At 52.9% G+C, this 10,224-nt stretch overlaps 1 protein-coding gene across 5 annotated transcripts, besides 5 other annotated features; it reads left to right on the top strand.

The window, feature by feature from the left end:
- Positions 59-613: an enhancer, noted in NCBI's record as "H3K27ac hESC enhancer chr15:91497796-91498350 (GRCh37/hg19 assembly coordinates)". NCBI's record gives its function as "activates a minimal SCP1, AML or CMV promoter by ChIP-STARR-seq in naive H9 embryonic stem cells {active_cell/tissue: H9 hESC(naive)}" and the evidence as "EXISTENCE:reporter gene assay evidence [ECO:0000049][PMID:30033119]".
- RCCD1 (RCC1 domain containing 1) lies at positions 377-8,618 on the top strand. Of its 5 annotated transcripts, none has more exons than XM_047433317.1 (9): positions 377-945; positions 1,293-1,376; positions 2,105-2,393; positions 2,606-2,996; positions 3,097-3,218; positions 5,393-5,491; positions 5,821-5,991; positions 6,518-6,547; positions 7,111-8,618. In XM_047433317.1, exons 3-9 carry the CDS (start codon positions 2,228-2,230, stop codon positions 7,260-7,262), a joined length of 1,131 nt encoding a protein of 376 aa, XP_047289273.1. In that variant the 5' UTR covers positions 377-945; positions 1,293-1,376; positions 2,105-2,227; the 3' UTR covers positions 7,263-8,618. The 5 variants fall into 5 exon arrangements, with proteins under 5 accessions (XP_047289273.1, NP_291022.2, XP_047289272.1 ...); NM_033544.3 differs by having other exon boundaries at positions 377-441; XM_047433316.1 differs by lacking the exon at positions 1,293-1,376.
- Positions 414-523: an enhancer, noted in NCBI's record as "active region_10106". NCBI's record gives its function as "activates an Ori minimal core promoter by ATAC-STARR-seq in GM12878 lymphoblastoid cells {active_cell/tissue: GM12878}" and the evidence as "EXISTENCE:reporter gene assay evidence [ECO:0000049][PMID:35858748]".
- Positions 744-873: a silencer, noted in NCBI's record as "silent region_6834". NCBI's record gives its function as "represses an Ori minimal core promoter by ATAC-STARR-seq in GM12878 lymphoblastoid cells {active_cell/tissue: GM12878}" and the evidence as "EXISTENCE:reporter gene assay evidence [ECO:0000049][PMID:35858748]".
- Positions 2,104-2,333: a silencer, noted in NCBI's record as "silent region_6835". NCBI's record gives its function as "represses an Ori minimal core promoter by ATAC-STARR-seq in GM12878 lymphoblastoid cells {active_cell/tissue: GM12878}" and the evidence as "EXISTENCE:reporter gene assay evidence [ECO:0000049][PMID:35858748]".
- Positions 2,454-2,503: a silencer, noted in NCBI's record as "silent region_6836". NCBI's record gives its function as "represses an Ori minimal core promoter by ATAC-STARR-seq in GM12878 lymphoblastoid cells {active_cell/tissue: GM12878}" and the evidence as "EXISTENCE:reporter gene assay evidence [ECO:0000049][PMID:35858748]".

The following is a 10,224-nucleotide window of genomic DNA, read 5'->3' on the forward strand; positions in this document are numbered from 1 at the left end:
TGTAATCCCAGCTACTCGGTAGGCGAAGGTTGCAGTGAGCCCAGAGCGCAGCCTCCCAAAGTGTCGCCTGGGCGACACAGCGAGACCCTATCTCAAAAAATATTAAACTATCCCAAGAAATAAGTCGTTTAGGGTAGAGACTCCCATATGCTGGGCCTTCAGTACGTTTGTCTTTATATTGGGAGTCCTCTGTGGCCTCCGCTGAGGGCGCTGGGGCGGGGGTTGGGGTTGGTGGCCAGCTGAGCCTGGTTGAAGGGCGGCTTGGGCCCCGCCCACCACCCCAGCACGTTCGAGGAGGGCTAAGCCCAGCGTGAGGCTCGTTGGCTCGACAGAGGCACGTGACGGGTCCTGAGCCAATCCGTGGAAGGTAAAAGCTGCTTCCTGTTGGGGCATGAGTCCGGCGCGTGTCGGGTTTTGAGCTGCCGCGGTCCCGGGACTGAGGTGGGTGGCGGGGTCCGCCCGTCTTGGGCGTCACTCCTCGCCAAACCTTTAGCTCAAGTCTTAATGAATGTCCTCTCTGTGGTTCTAATCCGAGCTCCAGCCCCACGGGTTCCTGCAGGGGCGGGACCACCTGGCCCAACCTCTGCCTTGGTCCAACGCCCCCGGTTTCCTCCAGGGCCTTGGTCCAACGCCCCTCGGAGGTTTCAGCCCATTTCACAGACCGGGCCGCAGGGCCCCGGCGTAGGCCTCGGGACCGGAGAGGCCCTCAAGGGGAGTTGAACAGGGCTGCGGCCGCCGCGCCCCGGGCGGCGACGTCACCGCCCTTGCTGGTGATTGGCCGCCTCGCGCCGCGCGCCCTTCAAACCTTTTCTCCCCGTGGCTGTCGGCGCCCGCTGGGCGGGAGGCCTTTCCGGAGGCGGCCGCTCTGCGCCTCGGCGTTTCCTCCAAGGCTGCCCACCAGAAGGACCTGCCCGAGAGGGTAGAGGGCATAGGGTCAAGATCAAGGTCAGAGGCCCCCTTGGGTTGGGAGAGGACACGGAAGGGGTTAGGAGCCCAGGAACTGGGGTCTCAGGAGAGACCCAGGATCTGACTTAAGAGGCCTGAAAATGCCCATGCAATTCTGCTTCAGCCCGGGTGCAGCGGCTCACGCCTGTAATCCCAACGCTTTGGGAGGCCGAGGCGGGCGGATCACTCGAGCCCAGGAATTTGAGACCAGCCTGGGCAGCATAGCGAGACCCCTGTCTCTATTATATTAAAAAAAAAAAAAAACAAACCCGCTCCAGCCGAATCTGCTTGAAGTTGGCGTTGCTGTTGTAACCACCAGACTGTTTGTCTCCCCATTTAACGGTTAGCTCCTTGGGAGCAGACAGCTGTCCTCACTGGCAGAGGAGGAGCGCTCAGTAAATGCTCGCTGGACGAATAAATGGCTAGATAAGGTACAGTTGAAATTCTGTCTGTATAAGTTTCTCAAAACCAGTAAGATGTCCAGGGATAATTTTTTTGTCAACACTAAATACTGGATTCAGTAAGCTAATACTGTGTGTTTATCATGGCATGTACTCGCACCAAACCCTTTATTTGCATTTATTACAATTCTGTGAGGAAGGTTCAAACAGCACCGCCCCCACCTCCCTTTGTAAACTGAAGAAACGCAGTTGGACTCAGGTGGATTGGCTGCGGTCCCAAGGCCCCGCTGAGTTGCAGAGGCACTGCCTCCCAAACGCTCTTCTGCGTTCCGCTGTGGGGAGAGGGGCAGAGCACTGTGTGTGGAGTTGGTGGGACCTGATTTCAGCGCTCTGCCCCTCTCTGTCTGGCTGTATGAGTGTGTAAGGGTTACTTTGTCTCAGAATCTCCTCTGTAAAACGACCATTTTGGTTCCCAAGATTACATGGGATAAAGTGCCAGATGCTGGGAAGCTGCGGGACGGGGTGGGGGTGTCGGGGGCGCTCGGATCCTAGTCCAATGCCTAAAGGACAGGCCACTTCGTACCCACTTTGTGGCACGCTGAGCTTGAGCCAAAAGGGAGGACAGGGAAAGTGCCTCTAAATATTTGAGCATCTTTGTAAATCCGGTAGGGCATTAGTCAGGGCGCCTGCTCAGCGAACCTTCGTGGCACGGACTCTGCCTTTGTGGTCGGGAGAATGATAGTTTCTCCATTTTACAGATAAGGCAGCTCCAGCCCCTGGAAGGCCAGAGACTTGCCAGTGTCCCACTAGCGGGCTCTTCGCAAGAATCCCCCCGGGCCCGCCGCAGCCAGGCGGCGGCCGGCAGAGGGCGCTGCTCGGGCATGGCGGAGGAGCGGCCGGGGGCCTGGTTCGGCTTCGGTTTCTGCGGCTTCGGGCAGGAGCTGGGCTCCGGACGCGGGCGCCAGGTGCACAGCCCCAGTCCGCTGCGGGCGGGCGTCGACATCTGCCGCGTGAGCGCGAGCTGGAGCTACACCGCTTTCGTGACCCGTGAGCACTCCCCGCCCCGTCCCCACTTATTCCAGCCGCGCTCCCCAGTCGCCTCCCCGCACCGCTGTGGCCAGTCCAGTTTGTCTCCCCCGTTCAGGCCGCCAGCCCCACATTCTGGGTTGGTCCCCAATTCGACCCCTTCCCAGGAACACCCCGCTCCCCCCATCCCCGCCGCCTCCATTCTGGCCACCCTGCTCCAATCCGCCCCGCAGGTGGAGGCCGCTTGGAGCTGTCGGGCTCAGCCAGCGGCGCGGCGGGCCGCTGCAAGGACGCGTGGGCCTCGGAGGGGCTCCTCGCGGTGCTGCGCGCCGGGCCGGGGCCGGAGGCGTTACTGCAGGTCTGGGCGGCCGAATCGGCGCTGCGTGGGGAGCCATTGTGGGCCCAGAATGTGGTGCCCGAGGCCGAAGGGGAAGACGATCCGGCCGGTGAGGCCCAGGCTGGGAGGCTACCCCTGCTGCCCTGCGCCCGTGCCTACGTGAGCCCGCGGGCGCCCTTCTACCGGCCTCTGGCTCCGGAGCTGCGGGCACGCCAGCTGGAGCTGGGCGCCGAGCACGCGTTGCTGCTGGACGCTGCTGGCCAGGTGTTCTCCTGGGGCGGGGGCAGGTGAGCGGAGGCGGGGGCAGGTGAGGGCTGCTGATTGGAGAAGCAAGCGGAGCGGGACCCCTTAATGCGACTGTAGCTGACGACGGTCTCCCTTGCTCAGGCATGGACAGCTGGGCCATGGGACCCTGGAGGCAGAGCTGGAGCCACGGCTGTTGGAGGCGTTGCAGGGCCTAGTCATGGCTGAGGTGGCCGCGGGGGGCTGGCATTCTGTGTGTGTGAGTGGTGAGTGACTTAGTGCTTCTCCAGACGAGCTCATGATCTTGTGCAAACCTTCCTCCTCGTTTTCCAGTTTGGGTGGGGGCCTACCCAGGCCTCCTTCCAAATTCATCCATCCATCGCCCAGTCAGTTATGACTCCTAAATGCCTCTCACCCTCGGCCTCCTCTGCCTGCACCATGGCCCACTCACGCCTGGACTCTGGCATTTGTTCCTAGCTTCTCTGTTACTGGTCTCACTGCCCCTCCCCTCCTCTCCCCACCTGCTCCCAGCCAGGACTGTCTCTTAACAGTGCTGCCGAGGGAGTATGGAGTGTGAGGGGGCAGCTGAGCCAAGGAAAACGCAGAAACGCTGCAGTTGCCTAGGGGGCCATGATGTGTGGCACAGGGTGGACACTGGGGTGCCCACCAGGCACCAGGATGGTGATGAGTGTGTCCCTGTGGTGGTGCCACAGCTGGCCAGAGTGAGGAGTTTCACTTGGTGATCCAGGTGTAGCTCCTTCCTAGGCTGTTAGAGCCCATGCAGAGAGGGTGAGGCTGGGAACAGATGATCTTTGTCTGTGTCTGGGGCTCTCATTCTGGCTGCTACGTAGATCACCTGGAAGCTTAAAAAATTACCAATGCCAGGGGGCCGGGCGTAGTGGCTCATGCCTGTAATCCCAGCACTTTGGGAGGCCGAGGTGAGTGGATCACGAGGTCAGGAGTTCGAGATCAGCCTGACCAACATGGTGAAACCCCGTCTCTAAAAAAAAATACAAAAATTAGCTGGGTGCAGTGGTGTGCGCCTGTAGTCCTGGCTACTCGGGAGGCTGAGGCAGGAGAATCGTTTGAACCTGAGAAGCAGAGGTTGCAGTGAGCCGAGATCGTGCCACTGCACTCCAGCCTGGGCGACAGAGCGAGACTCAGTCTCAAAAAAAAAAAAAAAAAAAAAAGAAAAGCTACCAGTGCCTTCCTCCACACCATATTCTCATGGAATGGGCCTGGGCTGGTTGCCAAGCTCAGGAAACCCTGGGCTGAGCCTCGCCAACGTGGCAAAACCTCGTCTTTGTACAAAAAATATAAAAATGAGCTGGGCGTGGCGGCTCGTGCCTGTGGTCCCAGCTACTCGGGAGGCTGAGGCTGGAGGATCACTTGAGCCACGCGTGAGTGGAGGTTGCAGTGAGCCAAGATCACACCACTGCACTCCAGTCTGAGTGACAGAGTGAGACTCTGTCTGTCTAAAAAAAAAAAAAAAACAAAAAAAAAAAACCCCAACCTTGGGCTGGAGAGACCAGAGGGCTGGAAACAGCCCAGTGGGACGCCCTGCACTCAAGGTCCAGAAGGAGTTTGAGGCCTTAAGTTTAGTGTAGAGGCTGAAGCACGGACACATCCCACCAGACTTCCTAGTTTCAGATCATTGCTCGGGCCCTGGGACCTCGGGCCTGGTACTTAACCCCCTCTGTGCCTCAGTTGTGAATAAAATAGGGATCCTGCGTAAATGGTGATATTGTCATAAAACCACCTGTAGGGCTATTGTGAGAATTAAGTGATTATATTTGAAAAGCATGTGAAACATCAGCATGGATTAAGCACTTCATAAAGCAGCTATTGTTAGAAATTTTTAGAATTAGGCAGCTGTTCCAACCAAAAAGCTCCAGTGTTGTGGGAGGCCAGGAAGGGGAGAGCTGCACGTGGCTTTCATCAGGACCGGCTGTGGGTGCAGTTGAAAAAGGGGCACAGGCCGGCCCAGTGGTTGTTTTATTTACTTATTTAGAGACAGGGATTTTGCCATATTGCTGAGGCTAGTCTCGAACTTTTGAGCTCAAGTGATCTACCCATCTCAGCCTCCCAAAGTGCTGGGTTACAGGCATGAACCAATGCACCTGGCCCTGGCCCAGTGGTTTTGAAAGGGAGACCACTGCGGTACTTCTAGGGATACATTTCTGAAATGAGGGGCTATTTGGCAGCATAAGAATGGAAGTAGAAGGTCCAGTAAGGGACTTAAAGGGTGATCTGAAGGCATTGAGGGGATGTGAACCTAAGACAAGCCCCTGGGGCCCGAGGGGAAGCGCCTTGGCCTGGAGTGCTACCTTGGGCAGGGCAGGCTTTAGTTGTCCCCAGGAGCGGATGCGATGGGGAGGAGAGTTTGGATGGATGCAGGGGCTTCACAGTCTGTTTCATGTGTCCCCTTGATCTCTTTCAGAGACTGGGGATATTTATATCTGGGGCTGGAATGAATCAGGGCAGCTGGCCCTGCCCACCAGGAACCTGGCAGAGGATGGAGAGACTGTCGCAAGGGAAGGTGAGGGTCATCTCGGCTCCCACAGCCGTCTCCCCAGGATGTGGCTGTCATTCCTAACTCCTGGCTGTATGCTGGCCTCAGAGCTACACTGCTCAGATGGAGCATGTGAGCCCCTTATGGGAGGGAGCATTGGCAAGGCTGATGCCGGTCTTGGCACAACACACTTGTGCAGCAGTGCCAGCCCTGCCTGCAGAATGTAGGGGTTGGGAGCACCAGCTTTGGAGCTAGGCAGTCGTGTACCTCAGAGCTGTTGTGGCAATAAGTGACTGCATGAATAAGATTTAGCTCAGGGCTCAGTTGGTGTTCACATCATTATTATCATTCTGAAGCCACAGAACTGAATGAAGATGGTTCTCAGGTGAAGAGAACGGGTGGGGCTGAGGATGGAGCCCCTGCCCCCTTCATAGCTGTCCAGCCCTTCCCGGCATTACTGGATCTCCCCATGGGCTCAGATGCAGTCAAGGCCAGCTGTGGATCCCGGCACACAGCTGTGGTGACACGTGAGTGGGGCTGGGAGGCACTCTGCTCCACTCGAGCTGGTGCCTACGGAAGGGGGTGTGGTCGACGGAAAAACTTCTGTCTTAAGGCTTCTGTGGCTCATACAGAGCAGCTACCTTGCTCAGTGGATAAGCCCCAACCCCCTTGTTGTTTCACAGTAGTTCCCCAGCCTGTCAGGCCCAGAAGTTTCTTCCTTCTGGTGGGAGGCTGATGCTTTCTGTCCTCCCTGCACGGCCACAGACACATTCCCTGCCCGCCGCCGCCTCTGACAGCAGGGACTGTCCAGTCTGGCATGGAAGACTGCGGCGCTCGGTAGCATGGCACACAGGAAGATCCGCCACTTTTTCCCTCGGGATCCTCTGCCATGCCACGTGTGATCAGCCAGTTGTTAAGAGAATATGTTGTTCCATGCCAGGCAGATCTCATGAGGATTGTAATATGCTAGCTGTGGGCTGTGCCAAGCTGGGCTGGACAGATGCCTTGCCAAAGAACCGTAGTGACAACTATCGATTGTCCTTTTGCTTTCAGGAACAGGGGAGCTCTACACCTGGGGCTGGGGTAAGTAAAAGGATTGTTTTTGTGACCCTGAAACCAAGGAGAAGAAAGACCTGGGAGTACAGGGCAGGTGACAAAGCCAACAAGACTGGAGGAAGCAGGGGCCTCGGCCAGGTCACTGGGAGGAACAGGACTGCTCCCTCCCTGGGGTTGGAACAGACATAGGCGCGCTCAGTCCGAGGCCAGACAGGGGAGACATGGAGAGGATATCGGTACCACCCGCCTACCTCTCTGAAAGACTGTCTTAAGGGAGTATCCAACCAGCACTTACAAAGCAGCTTTTTGTGGATGTGACACTGGGTGGAGAAAAAGATTCGATGGAAGTGTGTGCTCTGAACATCTTAGCTTGGATAGCAGGGAAGTCTGGAGGAGCGTCTTGCCTGGAGTGGCTGGTCGCCACTAGCCTCTTGGGGATCCCCAAGGTTGCCTGGCTCTGGGTCTCTTGGATTCACAGAGCAGTGGGGCATAATCCCAGCACTTCATTTGATAGTCTGGGCCCCTTCCTGGAGGGAAAGCAGCAGCAAGACCCAGTGGAGACGATGGCAAAGGGGCTGATTTCACTTTAGGTAAATATGGACAGCTGGGCCACGAGGACACCACCAGCTTGGATCGGCCTCGCCGTGTGGAATACTTTGTAGATAAGCAACTCCAAGTAAAGGCTGTCACCTGTGGGCCGTGGAACACCTACGTGTATGCTGTGGAGAAAGGGAAGAGCTGACATGTGTACGTATATGTATATGCAACACCTGTGAGACCCCCATTCAGGTCAAGGAAAACCATTGCCTGCACCCCAAGGGCCCCATATTTGCCCCTCCCCATCACAGTCCTGCCCTTCACCCTCAAGCACGGTCCTAAACTTGTCTGCACTTTAGAAACACCTGGAGAGCATTGAAAACTCTGCTGCCTAAGGTCAGCATCAATCAAAACAATGAAATCAATGAAACAATGAAACCAGAGCTTCTAGGTGTGTGGCCTGGATAGTGGTAGATTCAAAGCTCCACCCACCTCATCCCAGGTACATTTGATGTGCAGCTGAGATTGGGGCACATTCCAGGTCATCGTCTTCTGTCAGTCATTTCCCTGCTTTCGTTTGAATTTTACCATTCTTGTATGCAGCCTTATACGACATAGTTGTGTTTGCTTTTGAGTGTTAGATAAATGGAATCCTGTGTATGTGCTTTTGTGTCGTTTTTGTCACTCAGCATTGTATAATCCATCCTTGTTGGGTCCTGGAGTTCATTTTTAATGCTATATGGTGTTCTGTTGTATGAATAATACCTCAAGTGATACAGCCTTGTTGATGGTCATTTTTATTGTTTCTGATTTTGGTCATTCCACATAATTCTTTGTGCAGTCTTCTGCACATGTGCACAAGTTCCTTTGCAGAACATTGAGTTGAATTGCTAAGTCAGGAGATACCTTTAATTTTACTAGATAACTGTTGCCCCCAGCAGGGTGGGGTCTACTGTGGCTAAAATGTCAGGTAGATGCACACTGGTTTTAATTGGCATTTCCCTGGATACTGATGAGGTTGAGTAGCTTTTCATTTGTTTTGGATGGCTGGGCATGGTGGCTCACACCTGTAGTCCCAGCACTTTGGGAGGCTAAGCAGGGAGATTGCTTGAGGCGAAGAGTTCATATGTTTATTGGCCACTTGGAGTTTTTCTGTTGTCAAGTGCCTGTTCAAGTTTTCTGGCCTTTTAAAATGTTCTGTATTTTCCTTAGTGATTTTTCTTTTGGATATTTCAGATACAAGTCTTTTGAGAGTTAGTATTCAGAGTATCTTCTGCTACAATGTAGTTTGTTTCAGTCTCTCTTGGTATTACCAATTTTAATACTTAGGTGATGCTTACTCCATGCCAGGTAAGGCTCAAAGTGCTTTACAAGTATCAACTTATTTTGATAAAATAAGCTTATCAGTAGTTTTCTTTATAGTTAAATTCTATTTGTGCATGTGTGTGTCTGTGGTTTAGCAAATGTTTCCCACCCATGGGGTCTTTTTTATTGTGGTAAAATATACTGAACATAAAATTTATGTTCAATAAAAAACAAAAATTGTTTTTAACCATTTTAAGTACATAGTTCAGTGACATTATATGCATTCACTGTTGTGCAACCGTCACCCCTATGCATTTCCAGAACTTTTTCATCATTCTATGCTGAAACTCTGTGCATTAAACACTTAACTCGTCAGTCTCCCCTTCCCCAGCCCCAGGCAACCACAGTCCTAACCTTCTGTTCCTATGATACTGTAAGTGCCTCATGTAAGTGAAATCCCATAGTATTTGTCTTTTTATGACTGGCTTATCTCACTTAGCAGCATGTCCTCCAAGTTCATCCATGATGTAGCTTATGTATCTAGACTTCCTGCCTTTTAAAGGCTAAGATTCTGTTGTATGTATACACTGCGTTTTATTCATCCGTGCATTGGTGGATATCTGAGTTGTTCACTACAGTCAATAATGTTGCTGGGAACATGGGTGTACAACTCTCTTGAGTCTCTGCTTTCAGTTCTTTTGGATATATACCCAGAGTGGAATTGCTGGATTGTGTGGTAATTCTAAATTTTTTTGAGGAACTGCCCTGTTTCCCACAGAGGCTGCATCATTTTACATCCCCACTGGAAGTGCACACAAATCCTAATTTCTCCACATCCGCGTCCACACTTGTTTTCTATTTCTGGTTAACAGCCATCCTAATGGGTGTGAAGTGGTATTTCATTGTGGGTTTTTTTTTTTTTTTTTGGACAGGGTCTCTCTGTTGTCCAGGCTGGAGTACAGCCTCCACCTTCTGGGCTTAAGCCATCCTCCCGGGTAGCTGGGGCTACAGGCACGTGCCACCACATCTGGCTAGTTTTTTGTATTTTTAGTAGAGATGGGGTTGTTGCATATTGCCCAGGCTGGTCTCAAACTGCTGGGCTGAAGCGATCCACTTGCCTTAGCCTCCCAAAGTACTAGGATTATAGGCATGAGCCATCATGCCTGGCCAAGCCATTTTTTAAAATGGACAAAAGTCAACAAAGACGACAGAAGGATAGCAAGTGAGCATATGAGAAGATGCTCTACATCATTAGTCATTAGGGAGTTGTAAATGAAAACCATAGTGAGACACCACTCCATACACAGAATAACTAGAATTACATAAAGGCTGAACATACCAACTGTTGGTGAAGATGTGGAGAAACTGGAACCTTCATACATTACTGGTAGGAATGTAAAATGGTACAACTGCTTTGGAAAACAGTTTGGCATTTCTTCTTTTTTAAGATGGAGTCTTGCTCTGTTGCCCAGGCTAGAGTGCAGTGGTGCAATCTCAGCTCACTGCCACTTCCGCCTCCTGAGTTCAAGGAATTCTCCTTCCTCAGCCTCCTGAATAGCTGAGATTACAGGTGTGTGCCACCACAGCCAGCTAATTTTTGTATTTTTAGTAGAGATGGGGTTTCACCATGTTGGCCAGGCTGGTCTCGAACTCCTGACCTCGTGATCTGCCCACCTTAGCCTCCCAAAGTGCTGGGATTACAGGCGTGAGCCACCATGCCCGGCCCAGTTTGGCATTTCTTAAAAAGTTAAGTGTACACATACCATAGATGTGATCCAGCCATTTCACTCCTAGGTATTTATCCAGAAAAAAAAATATATCCATACAAAGACTTGTACATGAATGTTTATAACAGCCTTGTT

This window comes from Homo sapiens, chromosome 15 (genome assembly GCF_000001405.40).
Source record: "Homo sapiens chromosome 15, GRCh38.p14 Primary Assembly".
Classification (NCBI taxonomy): Eukaryota; Metazoa; Chordata; class Mammalia; order Primates; family Hominidae; genus Homo; species Homo sapiens.